General features: G+C 49.5%; 1 protein-coding gene and 1 pseudogene across 5 annotated transcripts in view, besides 7 other annotated features; one reads left to right on the top strand and one right to left on the bottom strand.

The window, feature by feature from the left end:
* The window catches only part of SNX8 (sorting nexin 8), a 102,728-nt gene that overhangs the window by 30,404 nt on the left and 45,696 nt on the right, over positions 1-26,628 (bottom strand). The window lies entirely within an intron of this gene.
* Positions 5,638-5,697: an enhancer, noted in NCBI's record as "active region_25518". NCBI's record gives its function as "activates an Ori minimal core promoter by ATAC-STARR-seq in GM12878 lymphoblastoid cells {active_cell/tissue: GM12878}" and the evidence as "EXISTENCE:reporter gene assay evidence [ECO:0000049][PMID:35858748]".
* Positions 5,738-5,787: an enhancer, noted in NCBI's record as "active region_25519". NCBI's record gives its function as "activates an Ori minimal core promoter by ATAC-STARR-seq in GM12878 lymphoblastoid cells {active_cell/tissue: GM12878}" and the evidence as "EXISTENCE:reporter gene assay evidence [ECO:0000049][PMID:35858748]".
* IMMP1LP3 (inner mitochondrial membrane peptidase subunit 1 pseudogene 3) lies at positions 5,742-6,255 on the top strand (annotated as a pseudogene).
* Positions 6,918-7,037: an enhancer, noted in NCBI's record as "active region_25520". NCBI's record gives its function as "activates an Ori minimal core promoter by ATAC-STARR-seq in GM12878 lymphoblastoid cells {active_cell/tissue: GM12878}" and the evidence as "EXISTENCE:reporter gene assay evidence [ECO:0000049][PMID:35858748]".
* Positions 19,021-19,070: an enhancer, noted in NCBI's record as "active region_25521". NCBI's record gives its function as "activates an Ori minimal core promoter by ATAC-STARR-seq in GM12878 lymphoblastoid cells {active_cell/tissue: GM12878}" and the evidence as "EXISTENCE:reporter gene assay evidence [ECO:0000049][PMID:35858748]".
* Positions 19,071-19,571: an enhancer, noted in NCBI's record as "OCT4-H3K27ac-H3K4me1 hESC enhancer chr7:2340879-2341379 (GRCh37/hg19 assembly coordinates)". NCBI's record gives its function as "activates a minimal SCP1, AML or CMV promoter by ChIP-STARR-seq in naive H9 embryonic stem cells {active_cell/tissue: H9 hESC(naive)}" and the evidence as "EXISTENCE:reporter gene assay evidence [ECO:0000049][PMID:30033119]".
* Positions 20,074-20,574: an enhancer, noted in NCBI's record as "H3K27ac-H3K4me1 hESC enhancer chr7:2341882-2342382 (GRCh37/hg19 assembly coordinates)". NCBI's record gives its function as "activates a minimal SCP1, AML or CMV promoter by ChIP-STARR-seq in naive H9 embryonic stem cells {active_cell/tissue: H9 hESC(naive)}" and the evidence as "EXISTENCE:reporter gene assay evidence [ECO:0000049][PMID:30033119]".
* Positions 25,520-25,819: an enhancer, noted in NCBI's record as "active region_25522". NCBI's record gives its function as "activates an Ori minimal core promoter by ATAC-STARR-seq in GM12878 lymphoblastoid cells {active_cell/tissue: GM12878}" and the evidence as "EXISTENCE:reporter gene assay evidence [ECO:0000049][PMID:35858748]".

Here is a 26,628-nt window from a genome sequence, read left to right on the forward strand (position 1 = left end):
CTCCAATCCGAAAAGATTCTGCAGATCTACCCACTAAAACTCAGAATGCATTCCCCTCTCAGCAAGTTTTCGGTGGCGGTCAGCTCCCAGACTGGCTCACAAATTGGTGCCTTCCACACAATGTGTGGGAGTCACACTTGGATGCTGCACTTGCAAAGATAAACTGTGAGAGGGGGCTGGGCAGCTGTCACAGAAACCAGGCATGCGGTGAGGGGCAAAGTCAGGCCCAAGTCAGCCGCCGGCCCACTGTGACCCCTCTTTGCAACAAAAAAAGGGGAAACAACCCACAAGCAACATTCAAGATCCTTTCAGCCTCACAAGTCTGTGAATCTCCAAGCGAGTTATCCACAAATCAGAAGGTAACGAAACTTCAAACACACACACCCATCTCCCGCCCAGTGTCTTTCACCAGGAACTTCAGACAGTAACAACACAGAGCAGGTGAGCACTACATTCTTTTCACAGCTGACATCTCGGGCCTCCCACCCCAGAGACCGCAGCTTTAGAAACAAAAAAGGATTGGCCGGGCGCAGTGGCTCACGCCTGAATTCCCAGCACTTTGGGAGGCCGAGGCAGGTGGATCACCTAAGGTCAGGAGTTTGAGGCCTGCCTGGCCAACGTGGCGAAATTCCATCTCTACTAAACACACAAAAATTAGCTGGGCATGGCCAGGCATGGTGGCTCACGCCTGTAATCCCAGCACTTTGGCAGGCCGAGGCGGGTGGATCACGAGGTCAGGAGATCGAGACCATCCTGGCTAACATGGTGAAACCCCGTCTCTACTAAAAATACAAAAAATTAGCCGGGCGTGGTGGCGGAAGCCTGTAGTCCCAGCTACTCGGGAGGCTGAGGCAGGAGAATGGTGTGAACCCGGGAGGCGGAGCTTGCAGTGAGCAGAGATCGCGCCACTGCACTCCAGCCTGGGCGACAAAACCAGACTCCGTCTCAAAAAAAAAAAAAGAAACAAACAAACAGGATTTACCGACAAACCCCATGCAAAGACGCTCCCCCTTCATTGAAGCACACCTTCGCAAATGCTGACCTCAGCAGAAGTCACAGGCCCTGCCAGCCTCGGCGCAGGTGGCACGGGACAGACACTGGAGGGTCCCAAGCAGCACAGCTGCAGCTGTTGCCTGGAGGCCAAGCCCGCCCCGGACTGGCCCGCACACTACTTCCTGCTGACCCAGCGTGGGGCTACACTGAGCACTCACACACACCCCCAGCTCCAGGTCCGCGCCGCCCAGGCACTCCCTGGGGTTCCCCGTGCCGATGGAGAGGCCTTCAGGGCCGGTGCTTTCAGAGCCAGGACAGGGCAGGGGCCTTCCCAAGGAGACCACGAGTGTGGTTCCTACTGTCCCGTTTAGTGGCAGGGAGGACCTGAATGCGCATTCCCATGGACTCCAAGTTCCCTGCTCTTCCACGACACACGGCTGCTGTCCCCAGCTGCCAGTTCCCTAGAACGGAGGGGAGATCAGGACCAGCAAGGATGGCACAGCGTCCCAGGGCTAAATTCCCCAAAGTGGGTGCGTATCAGAATCACCTGGTGGGCTCCTTCAAACACAGAGGGCTGGGCCCACTCCCAGCGTCTCTCCAACAGGAGGGCTGGGGTGGGGACTGGGAATCTGCTTTTTTTGGAGGGGGTGCCGGAGTCTTACTCTGTCACCCAAGCTAGAGTGCAGTGGCACAATCTTGGCTCACTGCAACCTCAGTGTCCAGGGTTCCAGCGATTCTCATGCCTCAACCTCCCGAGTAGCTGGGATTACAGGCATGTGCCACCATACCTGGCTAATTTTGCATTTTTAGGAGACATGGGGTTTCACCATGTTGACCAGGCTTGTCCTGAACTCCTGACCTCAAGTGATCTACCCGCCTCTGCTTCCCAAATTGCTGGGATTACAGGCACCCGCCACCACGCCCGGCTAATTTTTGTATTTTTAGTAGAGATGGGGTTTCACCATGTTGTCCAGGCTAGTCTCGAACTCCTGACCTCAGGTGATCCACCCGCCTCAGCCTCCTATAGTGCTGGGATGACAGGCGTGAGCCACCACACCCAGCCTGGAATCTGCATTTCTAACAAGTTCCCAGATGCTGCTTCTGGTCAGGGGCCACAGTTTGAAAGCCCTTGTCATAGGGCAACAGAGAGAAGGAATTCGATCCCTTGTCCTGACCCCGCCCCCGAAGTAGAATGGAAATCAGGTGTTCATAAACACTGCTTTTATTTCCTTTTTTTTTTTTTTTTTTTTTTTGAGACAGAGTCTCACTCTGTTGCCCAGGCTGGAGTGCAATGGTGCAATCTCAGTTCACTGCAATCTCCGCCTCCCGGGTTTAAGCGATTCTCCTGCCTCAGCCTCCTACTGAGTAGCAGGGACTACAGGTGCACACCACCATGCCCAGCTAATTTTTTGTGTTTTTAGTAGAGACAGGTTTTCACCACGTTGGCCAGGCTGGTCTCGATCTCCTGACCTTGTGATCCGCCCACCTCAGCCTCCCAAAGTGCTGGGATTACAGGCGTGAGCCACTGTGCCTGGCCTATTGCTTTTATTTCTTCATCTGGATGGGGAGAATGAAAAACGACAAGTCAGACTACACCTTTTCCACTGAAATCAAATGAAAGACAGTCCGCAGATGTCTTCAATTTTCAATGTGAATATTCCTTCTTCCGCTCATAAACACTTTCTACCCTGGATTAAAACCTTCTCTACTTACACATTCTGAGTCGGCTAATAAATAAATAAGTAAATTAATTAAAACTTCTTGGCTGGGCGGAGTGCCTCACGCCTGTAAATCCCAGCACTTTTGGAGGCTGAGGTGGGCGGATCACAAGGTCAGGAGATCGAGACCATCCTGGCTAACACGATGAAACCTCATCTCTTCTAAAAATACAAAAAATTAGCCGGGTGTGGTGGCGGACACCTGTAGTCCCAGCTACTCGGGAGTCTGAGGCAGGAGAATGGCGTGAACCCGGGAGGCAGAAGTTGCAGTGAGCCGAGATGGCGCCACTGCACTCCAGCCTGGGTGACAGAGCAAGACTCCGTCTCAAAAAAAAAAAAAAAAAAATGCAAAAAATTAGTTAGGCATGGTGGCGGGCGCCTGTAGTCCCAGCTACTTGGGAGGCTGAGGCAGGAGAATTGCTTGAACCCGGGAGGCAGAGGTTGCGGTGAGCCAAGTTCGCGCCACTGCATTCCAGCCTGGGCAACAGAGCGAGACTCAGTCTCAAAACAAAAAAACTTTCTCTAAGCTACTATGTTATTCTGAAATTAACAAACTGTTCTCAGGAAATGGAAGCAGAAGTTTCCTGATCCATATTATAGCCATGGCATTAGACATGAGAGTTTGGCAGCTCTGTGGCCAGGGAACAGCAGGAACGCCCCTCGAACATGGAGAAATAGAGATGCTTCTGTTACAGGTAACACACTTCACCCATGATCCTCTCATGCCCAAGACAGCTCCCCTAACTACTGCGCTAACTGCCATACAGGTCTCATACTTTCTTTTTCTATTTTTTTTATTTGAGACAGGATCTTTCTCTGTTGCCTAGGCTGGAATGCAGTGGCACGATCACAGCTCACTGTTGCCAGGACCTCCTGGGCTCAAGCAATCCTCCCACCTCAGCCTCCCAAGTAGCTGGAACTATAAATGTAGTACACGTGTGCACCACCATGCCCAGCTAATTTTTGTATTTTTTGTAGATATGCGGGGGGGTCTCACTATGTTGCCCAGGCTGGTCTCGAACTCCTGGACTCAAGCAATCCTCCCACCTCAACCTATCAAAGTGCTGGGATTACAGGCGTGAGCCATAGCACCCAGCCTAGGTTGTATACTTTAAACAGTAACTTTTTTTTTTTTTTTCTTTTTTGAGAGGGAGTCTTGCTCTGTCTCCCAAGCTGGAATGCTGTGGCGCTATCTCGGCTCACTGCAACCTCCAAGTCCCAGGTTCAAGCGATTCTCCTGCCTCAGCCTTCAGAGCAGCTGGGATTACAGGCACACACCACCACACCTGACTAATTTTTGTATTTTGGGTAGAGACGGGGTTTCACCATGATGGCCAGGCTGGTCTTGAACTCCTGAACTCAGGTGATCCGCCTGCCTCGGCCTCCCAAAGTGCTGGGATTACAGACGAGAGCCACCTCACCCAGCCTAGGTCGTATACTTTAAACAGAAACTTTTCATAGCCTCAATTTCATTAACCTTTAGGTTTATTTTTAATACCTTATTTAATGTGATGTAACATTAAGATATTTTGAAATAAACTCACTCCATCCCTACAACCTGTACACATCTATATTCATTTTTGCATATTACTTTCCATGTGCATAAAGCTGTAATGTGCCATACGGGCTATTTTATAATTTTTTTTTTTTTTTAATGGAGTCTTGCTCTGTCGCCCAGGCTGGAGTGCAGTGGCACGATCTCGGCTCACTGCAACCTCCACCTCCCGGGGTTCACGCCATTCTCCTGCCTCAGCCTCCTGAGTAGCCGGGACTACAGGCGCCCACCACCACATCCGGCTAATTTTTTGTATTTTTAGTAGAGATGGGGTTTCACCATGTTAGCCAGGATGGTCTCGATCTCCTGACCTCGTGATCCATGCCTCAGCCTCCCAAAGTGCTGGGATTACAGGCATGAGCCACCGCAACCAGCCTAAATTTTTTATAGATTTTATATTTTTAAAAAATTAATTTTTTGGCCAGGCGAGGTGGCTCACACCTGTGATCGCAGCACTTTGGGAGGCTGAGGTGGGCAGATCATGAGGTCAGGAGTTCAAGACCAGCCTGGCCAACATGGTGAAACTCCATCTCTACTAAACATACAAAAATTAGCCAGGCGTGGTGGTGGGCACCTGTAATCCCAGCTACTCAGGAGGCTGAGGCAGAGAATTGCTTGAACTCAGGAGGCAGAGGTTGCAGTGAGCCGAGATTGCACCACTGTACTCCAGCCTGGGCAACAGAGTGAGACTCTGTCTCAAAAATAATAATAATAATAATTTTTCATAGAGATAGGGTCTCGCCATGTTGCTCAGGCTAGTCTCAAACTCCTGGGCTCAAGCAATCCAGCCTGGGCAACAGAGCAAGACTCTGTTTCAAAAAAAAAAGACTGATGAAAAAAATATTAAAAGTGATTATTGTCCAGGCGGGGTGCCTCACACCTGTAATTCCAGTACTTTGGGAGGCTGAAGCAGGTGGATCCATTGAGTGAGGAGTTCGAGACCAGCCTGGCCAACATAGAGAAACCCCATCTCTACTAAAAATACAAAAATTAGACGGGTGTGGTGGCGCATGCCTGTAATCCCAGCTACTAGGGAGGCTGAGGCAGGACAATCACTTGAACCTGGGAGGCAGAGGTTGCAGTGAGCCGAGATCACGCCATTGCACTCCAGCCTGGGCAACAAGAGCAAAACTTTGTCTCAAAAATAATAATAATACAAAAATTAGCTACACATGCTGGCGGGCACCTATAGTCCCAGCTACTTGGGAGACTGAGGCAGGAGAATCGCTTGAACCCAGAAGGTGGAGGTTGCACTGAGCTGAGATCGCACCACACTGCACTCCAGCCTGGGCGACAGAGTGAGACTCCGTCTCAAACAAAAACAAAAATAAACAACAACAACAACAAAAAAACTCTATATAGAGGCTGGGCGCAGTGGCTCATGCCTGTAATCCCAACACTTTGGGACTGCAGTGAGCCAGGATAACACCATTGCACTCCTGCCTGGGCGAGCAGAAAAAAAAAAAAAAGAACTATGCTTCATGGTGTTCTGGGAAAAACCCTTCAACTTGGCTATACTCTTCAGTGTGGCTGTGTGGCTGACTGTGCTTTTGAACACACTGGTGGTGTTGTCATGTGTTCTGGACCATCCACGGAGCCTACAGTTCAATATTCAGGTACTGGCTGGGCAGAGTGGCTCACGCCCGTAATCCCAACACTGTGGGAGGCTGAGGCGGGTGGATTACCTGAGGTCAGGAGTTCGAGACCAGCCTGGCCACCATGGTGAAACCCCCATCTCTACTAATAATACAAAAATTGGCCAGGCAGGGTGGTGTGTGCCTGTAATCCCACCTACTCGGGAGGCTGAGGAAGGAGAATCACTTGAGCCTGAGAGGCGGAGGTGGAGGTTGCTGTGAGCCGAGATCGCACCACTGCACTCCAGCCTAGGCGACAGAGCAAGACTGTCTTAAAAAAAAAAAAAAAAAAAAAAATTCAGATACTGTCTTTGTAGAAAATCTTAGTGAATATTTTTATGGCATCCAGAGATAAATTTCTGTCATGGATATATTAAATTTACAGTGAAAATACACACACACACATTACAGACACACGTCATTCCCCTCCTCTCCCTTTCCCTACTCAAAGTGAGTGCTTTCTAGAGCTGATGGGTACCGTTTCCAGGCAGGTGTTTCTCGACTGCGCAGCCCAGTGAGTTTTCTACATGAGTGCCCCAGGGCCATCGCACCCAGAGAAGCAACAGCAGAATTAGCATCGATGCCCACTCAGAACCTGTCACCACCCCAAGAGTAACCACTGACTTCTCAAGCTCAGGGGTTTTTTGGGGGTTTGCCTGTTTTGGGGTTTTTGTTTTTGAGACAGGGTCTCACTCTGTCGCCCAGGCTGGAGTGCAGTGATGCAGTCACAGCTCACTGTAGCCTTGACGTCCCCGGCTCAAGCAATCCTCCCATCTCAGCCTCCTGAGTGTAGCTGGGACCACAGGCACATGCCACCACACCCAGCTAATTTTCGTTATTTTTTGTAGAGATGAGGTTTCCCCATGTTGCTCAGGCTGGTCTCCAACTCCGAGTCTCAAGCAATCCTCCTTCCTCAGCCTCCAAAAGTGCTGGGATTACAGGTGTGAGCCTCTGCACCTGGCTTGTTTTTATATTATGTAACCACGGTCGAAAGTCAGTTCCTTTGTTCCTGACGTCTTTCCCTCAGCATCAGGCTGCGAGACCTGTTGTGCACGTGGCTGTGGGGCGATGGCTGCCCCTGTGGTGGGCGCCGCTGCGTGACTATGTGTCCTCGTCGCCTCCTCCTCCCTCTGCTGCGGGGCATCTGGGAGGGTTCCAGCACCTCCCTGTTCCACACGGTGCTGTTACGAACATTCCAGCACGTGGCTCTTGGTGGACATATGTGTGCCTTTCTGTTGGCTCCATAACATATCTACAAGTGAAATTGCTGGATCACGGGATCTGCATATGTTCAGCTTGGTAAATATTTCAGTTTTCCAAAGTGACTGAGCCAATTCACACTCCCACCAGCAAGAGCTCCAGCTGCCTCGCACACGAGCCAACATTCAGCATTTTCCGTCCGTCTTCCCTCATTCCAGGAGGACTGTGCCTCTTTTAACACAGTTGCGATCCATTAGTTCACTGTTCCATCTAGATGCTTTTCCCTTTACGTTATAACCACCGTTCCATATTCCCAATCCTCAGAGAGGAAGCAAAAATTCTGTTTTTCTCTTTTTTTTAATGCGGTGAGGATACATTCACTAGATTGCCAAGGCAATACTGCAGTCACTCTCTGAACATAGTTTCGGAAGAAAAGTCTCATTTGATGCTTTTCTGTTAGTAAAACGTAGTACTGTTCACGTGGGTATAACAAAGCCATTCGGGCCAGGCACCGTGGCACGCACCTATAGTCCCAGCTATTCGGGAGGGTGAGGCGGAGGCTACAGTGAGCCATGATCGAGCCACTACGCTCCTGCCTGGGCAACAGAGCAAGACTCCATTTCAAAAAATAAAAATAAGGCCAGCGTGATAGCACACACCTGTAATGCCAACACTTTGGGAGGCTGAGGCGGGTGGATCACCTGAGGTCAGGAGTTCAGTACCAGCCTGGCCAACATGGTGAAACCCTACCTCTACTAAAAATACAAAAATTAGCCGGGCGTGGTGGTGCGCACCTGTAATCCCAGCTACTCAGGAGGCTGAGGAAGGAAAATCGCTTGAACCTGGGAGGTGGAGGTTGCAGTGCGCGGAGATTACACCACGGCCCTCCAGCCTGGCGACAAGGGCAAAACTCTGCCTCTAAATAAATGAAAAAATAAATAAATAAAGCCAGTGCAATGGCTCGTACCTGTAATCCCAGCACTTTTGGAGGCCAAGATGGGCGGATCACTGGAGGCCTGGAGTTCGAGACCAGCCAGGACAACACAGTCAGACTCGGTCTCTACTAAAAATACAAATAAAATTAGCCAGGCACGGTGATGCATGCCTGTAATTCCAGATACTCCAGAGGCTGAGGCACGAGAATCTCTTGAACCCAGGAGGTAGAAGTTGCAGTGAGCCGAGATCACACCACTGCACTCTAGCCTCAGTGACAGAATGAGACTCTGTCTCAAAAAATAAAGAAAAGAAAAGAAAAATAACAGTGCCCAGCACATAATAGATGCTAAATAAACATCTGCTGAATGAATGAAAATAATTTAATTCACGTGAGCAAGAAAGCCATATAACTTAATTTGGGGCCAGGAGGGTGGCCGAGGCAGGGCAACAGCCGCATGCCCTCCCAGCACCTGTGAGGTCTCATGGTGATGGGGACCGCGCCTCAGTCAGCCACAGCACCAAGCAAAAGCTGCTGACACAAAGAGAACGTAGTCAACAGACCCTGCCACACTGAGTCCCGAGAGTGACCTCCGCACAAAGCAGAGAATCTTCCCTCCTCCACCACGGCCTCTCTGCCAATTCTCAGCTACAACCTTTTCCCCCAGGAGAACAGGAGGAGGAACCCAGGTGAGGAAACACTGCCGCATCGTCAGAACAACCAACCTACAGTCAGAGAAGAAGGTTGCTGTCTTCCTGCAATGGTCTCAGTGTTTCTACCTTGAAGCAAAGTATAAACAGTCTTGTAGCGGGGCACTGGCTCACGCCTGCAATCCCAGAACTTTGGGAGGCTGAGGCTGGAGAGGATCACTTGAGCCCAGGAGTTTGAGACCAACCTGGGCAACACAGCAAGACCCTATTTCTACCAAAAAAAAGAAAAAAAACCAGTCAGGCGTGGTGGTGTGAATCTGTAGTTCCAGCTGCTTCCAAAGCTGAGGCAGGAGGGTCCTTTGAGCCCAGAAGTTCAAGGCTGCAGTAAGCTATGATTGCGCTACTGCAGTCTAGCCTGGGGAGCAGAAGACACCCTGTTTAAAAAAAAAAAGAAACTAGGCCGGATGTGGTGGACTACACCTGTAATCCCAGCACTTTGGGAGGCCAAGGCGGGCAGATCACCTGAGCTCAGGAGTTCGAGACCAGCATGGCCAACATGGCGAAACCCTGTCTCTACTAAAAATACAAAAATTAGCTGGCTGTGGTGGCACATGCCTGTAATCTCAGCTACTTGGAAGGCTGAGGCACGAGAATCACTTGAACCCAGGAGGCAGAGGCTGCAGGGAGCCGAGATCATGGCACTGCACTCTAGCCTGGGTTATAGAGCGAGACTCGGTCTCAAAAAGAAAAAAGAAAAAAAAAAAAAGGAAACCAGTCTCGGAAGACCCAACCCCCTGGTCCTGATTACTGAGAATTTCTGAAATCAGTTCTCTCCAGGCTCCAAGCTCAGTTCAAACCCCACTTCAACAATGAAGTACTTCCCACCCCGGTTAAGGGTCTATCAGTCCTTCCTTCCTTCACACTCCTACAACTGGCTTCACTCTCCTTTTTGAACCTTCCTCAACCTGTCTCATTCACAGGCTTCTCCCAAACTAAAACAAACACTCCCTTAGAGAGCTGTGGCTTCCCACTGCTGCCTATCATGGGAGGAGCACACCACAGGTGCACCCAGAACACGTCTAATGACGGACAACTGGGTACCCACCTTCAAAAGCATGAGGCATGGCTGGGCGCACTGGCTCATGCCTGTAATCCCAACACTCTGGGAGGCCGAGGTGGATGGATCACCTGAGGTCAGGAGTTCGACACCAGCCTGACCAACATGGTGAAACCCTGTCTCTACTAAAAATACGAAATTAGCCAGGCGTGGTGGTGCATGCCTGTAATCCCAGCTACTTGGGAGGCTGAGGCAGGAGAATCACTTGAACCTGGGAGGCAGAGGTTGCAGTGAGCCAAGATCCCACCATTGTACTCCAGCCTGGGCAACACAGTGAGACTCCATCTCAAAAAAAAATGAAGCCGGACCCCTCCCTCACACCATATATGATAACTAACTCAAAACTGATCACAGACCTAAATGCAAGAGCTACCATTACAAAACTCTTAGCAGAAAATATAGGCATAAATCTTCATGACCTTGGGATAGGCAAAGACTTCTTTTTTTTTTTTTTTAAGACGGAGTCTTGCTCTGTCGCCCAGGCTGTAGTGCAGTGGCGCGATCTCGGCTCACTGCAAGCTCCGCCTCCCAGGTTCACGCCATTCTCCTGCCTCAGCCTCCCGAGTAGCTGGGACTACAGGCGTCCACCACCACACCCGGCTAATTTTTTGTATTTTTAGTAGAAACGTGGTTTCACCATGTTGGCCAGGATGGTCTCAATCTCCTGACCTCATGATCCACCCGCCTCGGCCTCCCGAAGTGCTGGGATTACAGGCGTGAGCCACTGTGCCCGGCCCAGGCAAAGACTTCTTAGATATGACACCAAAAGCACAGCAACAAAAGAACAAAATACCCAGCAATTTGGGAGGTTGAGGTGAGAGGGTTTCCTCGAGGCTAGATTTGGACACCAGCCTGGGCAACGCGGCAAGATCCTGCCTCTACAAAACAAAAATAAAAAATTAGCCAGGCATGGTGGCTCATGCTTGTAGTCCCAGCTACCCAAGAAGCCAAGGTGGCAGAATGACTTGAGCCCAGGTTGAGGCTGCAGTGAGCTACAATCGTGCCACTGCACTCCAGCCCGGGTGATAGAGTAAGACCTTATACCTAAAAATAATAAGTAAATACATAACAAAAGAGATAAACTGAACTTCATCAAAATTTAAAACTGCTGTGCTGCAAATGACACCACCAAGAAAGTGAGACCAGGCTGGGCACAGTGGCTCACGCCTGTAATCATAGCACTTTTGGGAGGCTGAGGTGGGAGGATCACATGAGCGCAGGTCTCCAATTCCTAAGCTTAAGTGATCCACCCACCTCGGCCTCCCAAAGTGCTGGAATTACAGGCGTGAGCCACTGAAACAAGCCAAATTACCTAATTTTAAAGATGTACAAAAAATTTGAATAGTCATTTATCTAAAGAAGATGCAGAAATGGCCAATGAGCACCTGAAAAGATGCTCAGTCGGGTGCGGTGGCTCACGCCTGGAATCCTAGCACTCTGGGAGGCCAAGGCAGGTGGATCATGAGGTCAGGAGATCGAGACCACCCTGGCCAACATGGTGAAACCCCATCTCTACTAAAAATACAAAAATACAAAAATTAGCTGGGTGTGGTGGTGTGTGCCTGCAATCCCAGCTACTCGGAAGGCTGAAGCAGGAGAATCGCTTGAACCCAGGAGGTGATGGTTGCAGTGAGCCAAGATAGCGCCATTGTACTCCAGCCTGGGTGACAAAGCAAGACTCCATCTCAAAAATTAAAAAAAGAGGCCAGGCCAGGCATGGTGGCTCACGCCTGTAATCCCAGCACTTTGGGAGGCTGAGGCGGGCGGATCACGAGGTCAGGAGTTCGAGACCTGCCTGGCCAACATGGTGAAATCCCGTCTCTACTAAAAATACAAAAATTAGCTGGGTGTGGTGGTGCGTGCCAGTAATCCCAACTACTCAGGAGGCTGAGGCAGAACTGCTTGAACTGGTACCCGGGAGGGGGAGGTTGCAGTGAGCCGAGATCACACCAGTGCACTCCAGCCTGGGCAACAAGAGTGAAACTCTGTCTCAAAAAAAAAAATAGAGGCTGAGCGCAGTGGCTCATGCCTGTAATCCCAGCACTTTGGGAGGCCGAGGTGGGTGGATCACGAGGTCAGGAGTTCGAGACCAGCCTGGCCAACATAGTGAAACCCTGTCTCTACTAGAAATACAAAAAATTAGCTGGGCATGGTGGTGGGCACCTGTAATCTCAGCTACTCGGGAGGCTGAGGCCAGAGAATCGTTTGAACCTGGGAGGCAGAGGTTGCAGTGAGCCGAGATCACGCCATTGCACCCCAGCCCAGGCGACAAGTGCAAGACTCCATCTCAAAATAAATAAATAAATAAGAAAAAAAAGAAAAAAAAAAGATGCTCAACCACAGTGAGATGTCACCACCCCCACCACAATGGCTATAATCACAAAGACAGGCAGTCACCAGTACTGGCAAGGACTTGGAGATTGGAGCCCTCATACAGTGCTGGTGTCTGGAAGTCTACCGGACACTTCATAGACCATCTCTTTGTTCCTAAAAACACTGTAAGTAGGTACATTTGTGATCTCATTTTACAGATGCAGAAATTGGAGGCCCAGCGGGTGATGACCTGCCCAAGGTCACAGAGCCAGCAAGGTGGCTGGGGGGACAGAACATGTACCAGGCTACTCAGTGACACCAGAGCCTAGGCTCCCTCCCTGGTGGCCTCATTCAACACCCAAAAACATGTGAGCAGGAGCAGGAGCTGGAGCCGCAGGTCTGTCTGTGACCATCAGCAAGCAGTTCACCCCTCTGCACTCCGAGGTCCCTGCTCTAAAATGAGGCCAAGGCCAGCAGCGGCTCACACCTGTAATCCCAGCACTTTGTGAGGCCAAACAGGGAGGATCACTTGAGCCAGGAGCTGGAGACCAGCCCGGGGAACATGGCAATACCCCATCTCTACAAAAAAATAAAAAGTCAGGCATGGTGGTGCACACCTGTGGTCCCAGCTACTTGGGAAGCTGAGGTAGGAGGATCACTTGAGCCCCAGGAGTTCAAGGCTACAGTGAGCTATGATTGTGCCACTGCATTCCAACCTGGGTAACAGAATAAGACCCTGTCTCCTAAAATATAAAAATAAATAAAATAAAATAATAAAAGACAAGACCATCCACCTCACTGTTTGGTTGCAAGAATTCAAAACAGAAAATGTAGGCCAAGCGCGGTGGCTCACACCTGTTATCCCAGCAACTTTGGGAGGCCAAGGCGGGCAGATCACTTGAGGTCAGGAGTTCGAGACCAGCCTGGCCAACATGGTGAAACAGCATATCTAATAAAAATACAAAAATTAGCCAAGTGTGGTGGCACGTGCCTGTAATCCCAGCTACTCGGGAGTCTGAGGCTCGAGAACTGCTTGAACTCAGGAGACGGAGGCTGCAGTGAGCCGAGTTCGTGCCATTGCACCCAGCCCGGGTAACAGAGGGATACTCCATCTCAAAAAAAAAAAAAAAAAAGAGGCCAGGCACGGAGGCACACACCTGTAATCTCAGCACTTTGGGAGGCCAAGGCAGGTGGATCACCTGAGAACAGGAGTGCAAGACTAGCCTGGCCAACATGGTGAAACCCTGTCTCTACTAAAAATACAAAAATCAGCCAGGCATGGTGGCAGGCGCCTGTAATCCCAGCAAAAAAAAAAAAAAAAAAAAAAAAAAGGAAATGTGTTTCTGTTGCTTTTGGGGCCTTGGGCATAAATTCTTTGCCTTGGCCTATGTCCGGAAGAGTTCTCCCAATGTTATCTTCTAGAGTTGTTATAGTTTCAGGTCTTAGATTTAAGTCTTGAGTTGATTTTTGCATATGGTGAGAGCGAGCGACCCAGTTTCATTCTTTTGCATGTGGCTATCCAATTTTCCTAGCGCCACTTATTAACCAGGGCGTCCTTTCCCCAGTGATATGTTTTTGTATGTTTTGTCAAAGATCAGCTGCTTGTAAAAATGTAGCTTTATTTCTGGGTTCCTATTCTGTTCCATGGGTCTGTGTGCACGTTTATACCAGGATCATGCTATTTTGGTTACTACAGCCTTAGAGATTAACTTGAATCAGGTAATGCGATCCCTCCAAATTCATTCCTTTTGCTTAGGATTGCTTTGCCTTTTCGGGCTCATTGTTTCCATGTGAATTTTTGGATCTTTTTCTAATTCTGTGAAAAATGACGTTGGTATCTTGGTAGGAATCACACTGACTCTGTAGATTGCTTTTGGCAGTGTGGTCATTTTCACAATATTGATTCTCCCAATCCCTGAGCACGGGATGTTTTTCCATTTGTTTGTGTCATCTATGATTTATTTCATCAGTGTTTTATTGTTCTCCTTGTAGAGATCTTTCACATCCTTGGGTAACTATATTCCTAGGGTGTTTGGTTGTTGTTATTGTAGCTATTGTAAATGGGAATGAGTTCTTGATTTGATTCTCAGCTTGGTCGCTGCTGGCAGATAGCATGCTACTGATTTGTGTATACTGATTTTGTAACCTGAAACTTCACTGAATTCTTTTCTCAAATCTAGGAGTCTTCTAGAGGAGTCTTGAGGGTGTTCTAGGTATAATATCATATCATCAGCAAACAGAGATAGTTTGACTTCCTCTCTTCCAATCCAGATGCACTTTATTTCTCTTGCCTGATTGCTATATAAATGGGGCTATTTAATACCTTATTTAATGTGATGTAACATTAAGATATTTTGAAACAGCCGGGTGTGGTGGCTCACACCTGTAATCCCAGCACTTTGGGAGGCCGAGGCGGGTGGATCACCTGAGGTCAGGAGTTCGAGACCAGCCTAGCCAACATGGTTAAACCCCATCTCTACAAAAATACAAAAATTAGCCAGGCATGGTGGCGGACACCTGTAATCCCAGCTACTCAGGAGGCTGAGGCATGAGAATCGCTTGAACCTGGGAGGCAGAGGTTGCAGTGAGCTGAGATCACGCCATTGCACTCCAGCCTGGGCAACAAGAGTGAGACTCTGTCTCAAAAAAGAAAAAAATATATACAAATGGCCAAAAAATATATGCAAAATGCTCAAAATCACTAATCCATCACAGGGACATGCAAATTAAAACCACAATGAGATAGTATCTTACCCCAGCCAGAATGGCTATTATTAAAAAGTCAAAGAACAACAGATGTTGGCGTAGATGTGGTACAGAGGGAATGCTTACACGCTACCGATGGGAATGAAATTAGTACAGCCTTTGCGGAAAACAGTATGGAGATTTCTCAGAAAACTAAAGGCACATCTACCATTCAATCCAGTAGTCCCACTACTGGGTAATCACCCAAAAGAAAAGAAATAATTACATCAAAAAGGGGACGGGCATGGTGGCTCACACCTGTAATCCCAGCACTTTGGGAGGCCGAGGCGGGCAGATCACTTGAGGTCAGGAGTTCGAGACCAGCCTGGCCAACATGGTGAAACCCCATCTCTACTAAAAATACAAAATTAGCCAGGCACGGTGGCACATGCCTATAATCCCAGCTATTTGGGAGGCTGAGGCAGGAGAATCGCTTGAACCCAAGAGGGACAGGTTGCAGTGAGCCGAGATTGTGCCACTGCACTGCAGCCTGGGCAACAGGAGCAAAACCCCGCCGCAAAAAAAAAAAAAAAAAAAAAAAAAAATACCTGCACATGCCCATTTATCGCAGCACAATTCACAGTTGCAAAGATATGGAATCAACCTAAGTGCCCGTCAACCGATGAGTAGATGCAGAAAATGTGGTTCATATACATCATGGAATTCTACTCAGTCATAGAAAAGAATGAAATCATGTCTTTTGCAGCAACTTGGATGAGACTGGAGGCCATTATCCTAAGTGAAGTAACTCAGGATCAGAAACCCAAATACCACATGTTCTCACTTATAAGTGAGAGCTGAACTACGGGGACACAAAAGCAGGCAAAAGTGGGATAACAGACACTGGACCCTCAGAGGGCGGGAGGGGGTGAAGGATGAAAAATTACCTACTGTGTACCATGGACATTATTTTGGTGACAAGTACAATAAAAACCCAGCCTCGACCAACGAACAATTCATCTACATAACCAAAAACCAGCCCTAAAACTATTGAAATAAAAATATTTTTTTAAAAGAAACACTAAAAAAACACAAAAAATGTTAAAGCACCTAGCATGGTGCCCAGGGCCCAAGCTTTTCTTTATTCTTATTTTTAGAGAGGATCTCGCTCTGTCGTGCAGGCTGGAGTACAGTAGTGCGATCACAGCTCGCACAGTGCGAGATCACCTCGAACTCCCAGGCTCTAGTGATCTTCCTGCCTCAGACTCCCGAGTAGCCGGGGCTACAGGCCTGCCCCATCATGTGCAGCTAACTTTTTATTTTTTTTGTAGAGGCAAAGTCTCACTATGGTGCCCAGGCTCTGAACTTTTCTTTTTCGTTTTATTTTTGGTTTGGGTTGTTTTGTTTTGTTTTTTGAGACGGAGTCTCATTCTGTCCCCCAGGCTGGAGTGCAGTGGTGCAATCTCGGCTCTCTGCAACCGCAGCCTCCCAGGTTCCAGCAATTCTCCTGCCTCAGCCTCCCGGGTAGCTGGGATTACAGGCATGCACCAGCACGCCCAGGTAATTTTTGTATTTTTAGTAGAGACGGGGTTTCACCATGTTGGCCAGGCTGGTCTCGAACTCCTAACCTCAGGTGATCCACCCGCCTCAGCCTCCCAAAGTGCTGGGATTACAGGCATGAGCCACCACACCCAACCTGGGTTTTGGTTTTGTTTTTGTTTTTTGTTTTTTGTTTTTGAGATGGAGTCTTGCTCTGTCCCCCAGCCTGGAGTGCAGTGGCACGATCTCAGCTCACTGCAACCTCCACCTCCCAGGTTCAAGAGATTCTCATACCTCAGCCTCCCGAGCAGCTGGGATTACAGGCACATGCTACCACGCCTAGCTAATTTTTTGGATTTTTGGTAGAGACAGGGTTTCGCCATGATGGCCAGGCTGGTCTCGAACTCCTGACCTCAAGTGATCCTCCCACCTCGGCCTCCTAAAGTGCTGGGATTACATGCGTGACCCACCATGCCTGGTCTGAGCTTTTCTTTTTTAATGGGCCTATACTCCTGATACCAAATTCCCAGATCAAACCACAGACAGAGCAAGCTGCTGACCAGGGTCAGGGCTCCCCAGAGAGCTAGGTTCCTCGATAGGACAACGGCATCTTGTTCTCATCAGGAACCAGACCACGCCTGAGGTTCCGTGGATGATTACAAACAGAGCACGGGCCATCCATCGCTGAGACCCAGGGAACTGCATATGAACCCCCCACGCACACCCACACACAAGCAGGACATGGGAGATGCAAGAGACCAGACCACAAAGGGGAAAAAAAAAATCACTGGTTCCACGTCACAAAACTGAAGTGTGGTGCTGGAAATACTCACCGCTCAGATGATTTCCTCTGACTCAAATCAGAGTCAAGGGACAAGCGGAGCCAGCCAAGGACATCAGAGCCATCCGTCCCACCAATCCCCCGGAACCCCCTTCTGAAAGGGCCCATTGGACTTCAGCTCATTCCTCAAAACACCTCTCGGGTCTCTCATTTCGGGAATGTTTATCTGAGGGGAGGCCCAGCGATTTGTTCCGGAGTTAAAAAGGAATACTATTTTAGCAAATTGGGGGAATCTTGGAATAACCTACCAAGTAGGAGTTTGGAGTTCCAAAAAGAGTCCTCGTCTCTGTTTAACTAAATGCCACCCATGCCTGGTTTCTTGCGTTTTCTTTTTTAACCCTCCTCCTGGCTGGTGGTTGGTTTGGTCTGAAAGTGACTCCGGTTTTTTTCTAGGGTCTCCTGACATGAAAGTGAAAAGATTCCAAAATATCTGACGGGGCTAAGTCTGTCTTGATCCTCATAGAGGCCAAATGGAGAAGAACCTTCATTGGCCACCAAATAAGGTCCCTCCAAGAAAATTCCAAGCAGTCAGCCAGCATAATGGGCCAAGTGAGATACAATTAAATCCATTTCAGCAAACCTTGATTGATCTATGGCAAGCACAGCAAGGAAGAAGGCGCACTTCCTTCTCCTGGCTGCCTTAAGGGTAGACAACAAGGAACGCAATTAATCAACCAGAAAATGTAACGCCTCAGAAGTCAGCAAGAACAAATTAGGAACTGTGAAAAATGTCACAGGAAGAGAAATATTTAGTCAGTTTTTCCCCCACGGCTAAATTTGCACTGAACACGAAGACCTAGTTTTCCATGCACAGAAGGCTGGACTCTCATCTGGTGTCTTACAGACCCCAAAACTCCAAGATTGGTTAACCAGGATGCTCAGATTATCTTAACGCGTTTAAGGGAACTCAGCCTGTGCCTCACAAAATTCAAGAAGTGATTTGTTTTTTCAGAGCTGACAATTCAAGGAGATTTTATGTTGAACTCAACTGGAAACAGACTGTCTACACCCAGTTGTCCAGAATGAACTAAATATTTTCAGTAGACACGTTGCAAAGCTTTCTCTCTTTTTTTTGGAGACAGAGTCTTGATCTGTTGTCACCTAGGCTGGAGTGCAGTGGCACGATCTTAGCTCACTGTAGCCTCAGTCTCTTGGGCTCAAGCGATCCTCCTGCCTCAGCCTCCCAAGTAACCGGAACTACAGACACGTACCACCATGCCTGGCTAATTTTTTCATTTTTTTGTAGAGAAAAGGTCTCGCTATGTAATGCCCAGGCTGGTCTTTTTTTCTTTTTTTTTTAAATTATTGAGACAGAGTTTCATTCTTGTCACCCAGGCTGGAGTGCAGTGGTGCAATCTTGGCTCCCTGCAACCTCCACCTCCTGGGTTCAAATGATTCTCCTGCCTCAGCCTCCCGAGTAGCTAGGATTATAGGCGCATGCCACCACGCCCAGCTAATTTTTGTATTTTTAGTAGAGACGGGGTTTCACCATGTTGGCCAGGCTGTTCTCGAACTCCTGACCTCAAATGATCTGTCTACCTTGGCCTCCCAAAGTGCTGGGATTACAGGCGTGAGTCACTGTGCCCAGCCCCTGTTGTGGAGCTTAAACCCAACCTCGAACGAGACAAGTAACCATTCTCCCACAAAATGACTTCAACACTCACAACAGGCATTCTGAATTTACATGCTCTTTCATTACGTCCTGTTTCCTAACTTTAAAGTGCATTCCTGTTCTGAAAAGATAAAAAGGACCTAGCACAATTGTCTAGGGTGTTATTTATGAGAAAGGTCTGTGCAACTATCTCCCTCTAAGGAAAACCATCTGAAGAGGGAAAGCTCCATGCCTACGAATGGCTGCTTAACGTGGCCAGACGCAAATCCAACAGAGACCCTCACAGGCCAGGCCACACTGCTCATGTCCCAGCTGCAGCCCCACACCTGGTGTGAATCCCAGCACCACCACCTATTGGCCGTGTGCTCATGGGCATATGAATACAAGGCAGGCCAGCCCCCAAATTCGGGCTTAGCCCAGAGGCTTCTAGGCTTTGTCTAGGAAGGAATTCAAGGCTGAGCCGATGGTGTTAGCAACTTTTATTGAAGCAGCAGCACGCACAGCAGCAACAGAGGTCCTGCTCCTTGCAGAGCAGAACCACCCCCTTACCAGGGCACCCAGAGCAGCAACTTAGAGGCAGTGTTGCACTCATATTTATACCTACTTTTAATTATATGCAAACTAAGGGGTGATTTATGCAGAAATTTCTAGAATGGGGGTAGTAAATTCCGGGTTGTCCAGTCATTGTCATGGAAAAGGGCATCCACGTGTTGCCATGGTGATGGTAAACTGACATGGCCCACTGGCAGGCGTGTCTTATGGGAAGGTGATTCTGCCCTGGACCTATTTCAGCTAGTCCTCAATTTCGACTGCTATCCAGGCCCTGCCTCCAGCGTCGAGTTCTGTCTCCTAACTCATTACCAAACCTCTGTATGCCTCAGTTTCCTCATCTCTGAAGTGAGGCTAGGACTACCTACTTCTCAGCTTGTTAGTTCACACACAGACCCTAAGGAGAATGCAGAGCACATTGTCCAGGCTCTCAAAGAGTTGGGGATCGGCCAGGCGCGGTGGCTCACACCTGTAATCCCAGCACTTTGGGAGGCCGAGGCAGGCAGATCACCAGGTCAAGAGATCGAGACCATCCTGGCTAACACGGTGAAACTTCATCTCTATTAAAAAAAAATACCCTCTCCCCTCTCCCGACGGTCTCCCTCTCCCTCTCTTTCCACGGTCTCCCTCTGATGCCGAGCCGAAGCTGGACTGTACTGCTGCCATCTCGGCTCACTGCAACCTCCCTGCCTGATTCTCCTGCCTCAGCCTGCCGAGTGCCTGCGATTGCAGGCTCGCGCCGCCACGCCTGACTGGTTTTCGTATTTTTTTGGTGGAGACGGGGTTTCGCTGTGTTGGCCAGGCCGGTCTCAGCTCCTAACCGTGAGTGATCCACCAGCCTCGGCCTCCCGAGGTGCCGGGATTGCAGACGGAGTCTAGTTCACTCAGTGCTCAATGGTGCCCAGGCTGGAGTGCAGTGGTGTGATCTCGGCTGGCTACAACCTCCACCTCCCAGCCGCCTGCCTTGGCCTCCCAAAGTGCCGAGATTGCAGCCTCTGCCCGGCCACCACCCCGTCTGGGAAGTGAGGAGCGTCTCTGCCTGGCCGCCCATCGTCTGGGATGTGAGGAGCCCTTCTGCCTGGCTGCCCAGTCTGGAAAGTGAGGAGCGTCTCTGCCCAGCTGCCACCCCATCTAGGAAGTGAGGAGCACCTCTTCCCGGCCGCCACCACATCTAGGAAGTGAGGAGTGTCTTTGCCCGGCCGCCCATCGTCTGAGATGTGGGGAGCGCCTCTGCCCCACCGCCCCGTCTGGGATGTGAGGAGCGCCTCTGCCCGGCCGCGACCTCGTCTGGGAGGTGAGGAGCGTCTCTGCCCGGCCGCCCCGTCTGAGAAGTGAGGAGACCCTCTGCCTGGCAACCGCCCCGTCTGAGAAGTGAGGAGCCCCTCCGCCCGGCAGCCGCCCTGTCTGAGAAGTGAGGAGCCTCTCCGCCCAGCAGCCACCCCGTCTGGGAAGTGAGGAGCGTCTCCGCCCGGCAGCCACCCCGTCCGGGACAGAGGTGGGGGTCAGCCCCCGCCAGGCCAGCCGCCCCGTCCAGGAGGGAGGTGGGGAGGTCAGCCCCCCACCCGGCCAGCCGCCCCGTCCGGGAGGGAGGTGGGGGGGTCAGCCCCCCGCCCGGCCAGCCGCCCCGTCCGGGAGGTGAGGAGTGCCTCTGCCCAGCCGTCCCTACTGGGAAGTGAGGAGCCCCTCTGCCCGGCCAGCCGCCCCGTCCAGGAGGGAGGTCAGGGGGTCAGCCCCCCGCCCGGCCAGCCGCCCCGTCCGGGAGGGAGGTGGGGGGGTCAGCCCCCCGCCCGGCCAGCCGCCCCGTCCGGGAGGGAGGTGGAGGGGTCAGCCCCCCGCCCAGCCAGCCGCCCCGTCTGGGAGGTGAGGGGCGCCTCTGCCCGGCCGCCCCTACTGGGAAGTGAGGAGCCCCTCTGCCCGGCCACCACCCCGTCTGGGAGGTGTACTCAACAGCTCATTGAGAACAGGCCAGGATGACAATGGCGGTTTTGTGGAATAGAAGGGCGGGAAAGGTGGGGAAAAGATTGAGAAATCGGATGGTTGCCGTGTCTGTGTAGAAAGAAGTAGACATGGGAGACTTTTCATTTTGTTCTGTACTAAGAAAAATTCTTCTGCCTTGGGATCCTGTTGATCTGTGACCTTACCACCAACCCTGTGCTCTCTGAAACATGTGCTGTGTCCACTCAGGGTTAAATGGATTAAGGGCGGTGCAAGATATGCTTTGTTAAACAGATCCTGAAGGCAGCATGCTCGTTAAGAGTCATCACCACTCCCTAATCTCAAGTACCCAGGGACACAAACACTGTGGAAGGCCGCAGGGTCCTCTGCCTAGGAAAACCAGAGACCTTTGTTCACGTGTTTATCTGCCGACCTTCCCTCCACTATTGTCCTATGACCCTGCCAAATCCCCCTCTGCGAGAAACACAAGAATGATCAATTAAAAAAATAATAATAATAAATAAAAAATAAAAAAAAATAAAAACTTAAAAAAAAAAAATACAAAAAAATTAGCCAGGCGTGGTGGCGGGCGCCTGTAGTCCCAGCTACTCGGGAGGCTGAGGCAGGAGAATGGCATGAATCCAGGAGGCGGAGCTTGCAGTGAGCCGAGACTGTGCCACTGCACTCCAGCCTGGACGACAGAGCGAGACTCCGTCTCAAAAAAAAAAAAAAAAGAGAGTTGGGGATCAGTGGGACTCATTCTCCCACCCCTGCTCTGCAAAGAAGGACCGACTACACATAAATCCATCTCCCCGGCCGGGCACGGCAGCTCACGCCTGGAATCCCAGCACTTTGGGAGGCCAAGGTGGGCAGATCACGAGGTCAGGAGATAGAGACCATCCTGGCTAACAGGGTGAAACCCCATCTCCACTAAAAATACAAAAAATTAGCCAGGCGTGGTGGCGGGCGCCTGTAGTCCCAGCTACTCGGGAGGCTGAGGCAGGAGAATGGCGTGAACCCGGGAGGCGGAGCTTGCAGCGAGCGGAGATTGCCCCACTGTACTCCAGCCTGGGCGACAGAGCGAGACTCCATCTCAAAAAAAAAAAAAATTCCATCTCCCCAAGGACAGGGGCAGATGGGAATACGGTCCCCTCACTGAGTAGCCCACCTTGGAGGGAAGCACGCCCATTTGCACATAACACAGGGTCACTTTAAACTTCGCAGAAGCTTCCAGGAGTGTCCCTCCTTTCCTATCTAGCCAAGGAAGGAAGGCTAACCGTGCACATGCCGTCCTGAGATAAGAAACTGCACACACAGAGACACTCCCCAGACTCTGAAGAGCTGAAAATGCAATTTCAAATCTCCTTTTGGTGCAAAACACGGGCACTAAGTGGCCGGTTCTTGAAAGACAGGTCCACCCCCAGCCTGGACTGGAATTTCTCAGGAGCTGGGAGGTGAAATTTCGGTCCTGAAGATAATGAACTGTGCCCAGTAATGAATATCATCTGACTCTCCTTGACAGCTTTGGCCAGAGAGCTGCTTTTGGCTTTTGGCTGAGAGTGAGGTTCCCAGACAAGCCTTGCTGTTCCTGCAGACGCCGGAGGGTCTGGGTGCTCCTTCCTGCTGTGCTGCCGGTGGGTCACCGAAACAGCTGGACTCAACAGAGCACCGGGCTGAGCCAGCAGCACTCAGGCCTCAGAAACAGCTGGAGGCAGGGGAGCTCTTCTGCTGATCAACCGCAGTGCCCTCTGTTAGGAGCAGACACTGAGGCAAGAAAACGGATTTCACCCTAAAGGCACCTCCCTCTGGGTAAATCCAACGGGACTTGGGGCATGAATACCAAGGCAGTCAGTCCAGATAGTCCTACAAAATTATCTTAGGAACCTCAGGTTTTCCCCCAACATTTTGTATTTTTGTTTGTTTGTTTGTTTTTGAGATAAAGTCTTGCTCTGTTGCCCAGGCTTGAGTGCAGTGGTGCAATCTCAGCTCACTGCAACCTCTGCCTCCTGGGTTCAAGTGATTCTCCTGTCTCAGCCTCCCAAGTAGCTGGGATTACAGGCACCCGCCACCACACCTGGCTAATGTTTATACTTTTATTAGAGAGGAGGTTTCACCATGTTGGTCATGCTGGTCTCGAACTCCTGACCTCAGGTGATCCGCCTGCCTCGGCCTCCCTAAGTGCTGGGATTACAGGCGTGAGCCACCATGCCCGGCCTGTATTGTATTATTTTGTATTATTAAATACTTTACACATGCACAGAAAGGACTATAAAACTTCTATGAACACTCGAACAAAATTATTTACCAAACACGTGTAACCACCATCCAGGCCAAGAATTAAAGACAGCCAGACTAGGCACGGTGGCTCACACCAGTAATCCCAGCACTTTGGGAGGCCGAAGCAGGAGAACTGCTTGAGCCCAGGAGTTCAAGAACAGCCTCAGCAACGTAGTGAGTCCCTGTCTCTACAAAATAAAAAATAAAGACAGCGGCACCCTGGAAACGCTCCTTCTGGTTGCATCCCTGACAGATCTGGGTGCCTTCTTCCCGCCAGAGGGAACTACCAGCCTAATTGGTACGGCATCTTCCTCGATTTTCATTCAGTCTTATCCCTTATCAGGCTCTGTAGGGTCTCCCAAAGCATTGGGATTACAGGCATGAGCCACTGTGCCCAACCCGGGACAAGTCATTTTTTTGTTTGTTTTTTGTTTTTGAGACAGTCTTGTTCTGTCGCCCAGGCTGGAGTGCAGTGGCGCGATCTCAGCTCACTGCAACCTCGAGCAATTCTCCTTCCTCAGGCTCCCGAGTAGCTGGGATTACAGGCGCATGCCACCAAGCCTGGCTAATTTTTGTATTTTTTTTTAGTAGAGACGGGGTTTCACCATGTTGGCCAGGCTGTAATCCAGCCACCTCAGCCTCCCAAAGTGCTGGGATTACAGGCGTGAGCCACCGTGCCCAGCCTCCGGGACAAATTTTAATATGGATTCCATTTAACAAATCATTTTCTGGAAAACATGTGGCAAGAATATCTCTAACTGAAATTTTTTTTAACTGAAATTTTATCATATTAGCACTTTCGAAGCACAACTTTATATTCCTTAATGCACTATTATACAGACACTAGGTAGAAAATTACGAAAACTAGCAGTGTAGAAAAATGTCAAGTGAAAGGAACTAACTATAAAGACGCATATTCACTATGATGATAACTACATACAAAGCAATGCACAGGAAAAAAGGAAATATATTAAAATGCAACGGCTGTTAAAAGGGGTGGAACTACAGGTGATTTGTCTATGAAATTTTTGCGATTGTGGTTGTATCACTTGTATAACAAAATTTTCTGAAAGCACCAATTCACACAACAACAGCGCATTACTGGGTCTGATGACAACTCACTCATCAGGCTCCTGGTGGACACCCGCACAAATCAGGTTTTGGAAGATTCCTGGAAAATAACGTAACTGGGCTTCTTGAAAGATATTACCTAACCTGAGTTTCTCCGGCCCCTACAGTACTTCCTGGGGTTAATCAAACTTTGTGTAATTTCACTTCAGATTTCCATAACACACAAACTTCAAAATGCTTATAGGGAGCTAAAAAGACCCCCATTAAACCCCTGCTACACACAACAGAAACAGCAAAGTGCCTCCTCCCACCCAGTCAACAGAAAACAGCAGGAAGGGCAGACCAGATCCTCCCGGAGCTGAACACACACCCCTCCTCAGTCCTCCCAAAAGGGACCCTACCTGATATTTTAATGCCAATATTTTCCCAAAAACACTTCTCACAAAGCACTTCTGCCCTTTAAGTCTGGTTATGTGATTTTTTTTTTTTTGGTGATTCTATAGTAGAAATATGCAGAGCGTGGCCGCGCTCCAGTTTCTCAGAGGATGACAATGGACCAGGTGCAGTGGCTCACGCCTGTAATCCCAGCACTTTGGGAAGCCAAGGCGGGGGGATCACTGAGGTTCCAAGTTCGAGACCAGCCTGGCCAACATGGTGAAACCCCATCTCTACTAAAAATACAAAAATTAGCCAGGTGCGGTGGTGGACACGTGTAATCCCAGCTACTCGGGAGGCTGAGGCAGAAGACTCGCTTGAACCCGGGAGGCGGAGGGTGCAGTGTGCCGAGATCGCACCATTGCACTCCAGCCTGGGCAACAAGAGCAAAAACTTTGTCTCCAAAAAAAAAAAAAAAAAAAAAAAAGGTGACAGTGACAATGCTGGAGACCGACAGCCAGGCTCTCCATGCACTCTCGGGCTCTGTGCCTCCTACCTGCAGCCTCCAAGCTTCTAATCACCGCATGGCTCCTCTCAGACACAGCAGGTCCTGTGAAACCACCCACGTCCAGCCAGCACCACCATCACCCCCGGTCTCTTCCCACTACCCCAGCAAACAGGATGGGCAAACATCTCTTTTTGTGATGCTTTTCTCAGGAAAGACAAAATAATACCAAAACAGAATTCCCCTACCCGGAACACATCACTTTCTTGCTAACCACAAATTCTGGCAAAATCTGTTCTACATAACAGTGATTCAGTTAGTTCCTCTTTCTTCAAATTGACACGTTTTACCTTGCAAATTGTGTATGTGTGCGTGTGTGTGTGTGTGAGAGAGAGACAGAGAGAGAGAGAGGATGAGCAAGTTTAAAGACCAGTAACAAAACATATTTGCAGTGTTGTCAAGTCTTATCACATAAGAAATATAATACAAAAATTTATAAAAATGTAATTCTATTCAAATATTTGAGACTCTGCTACATAGCAGATAGTATTCTAGATACTGTGGTTAAAGAAAAATAGGTTTCTGTTTTCTGGAGAGAGCCAGAATTAAAAAAAGAAAAAAGTAACAAAACTATATAAACAAAATAAACTTGTAAAAAAAATAAAAATAAGTTTGCTCATCAGGAGTTTACTACCAAAATATGTGTCATGGCCAGTCACGGTGGCTCACACCTGTAATCCCAGCACTTTGGGAGGCTGCAGCGGGCGGATCACCTGAAGTCAGGAGTTCGAGACCAGCCTGGTCAACATGGTAAAACCCCGACTCTACTAAAAATACAAAAATTAGCTGGGCATGGTGGCACACGCCTGTAATCCCAACTACGGGGGAGACTGAGGCAGGAGTCACTTGAACCTAGGAGATGGAGGTTGCAGTGAGGCTAGATGGCACCACTGCACTCCAGCCTGGGCAACAGAGTGAGACTCTGTCTCAAAAAAAAAAAAAAAAAAAAAAGGGTCATGGAAGGGAGCGAAATGGGGCAGAAGGTTTTGTCCCTAATGCAAACAATACTGTGGGGCATAATTTAATCACCATAAAATGAACAAATTTTTTTTTTTTTTTTTTTTT

The sequence above is a fragment of the Homo sapiens genome, chromosome 7, assembly GCF_000001405.40.
Source record: "Homo sapiens chromosome 7, GRCh38.p14 Primary Assembly".
Classification (NCBI taxonomy): Eukaryota; Metazoa; Chordata; class Mammalia; order Primates; family Hominidae; genus Homo; species Homo sapiens.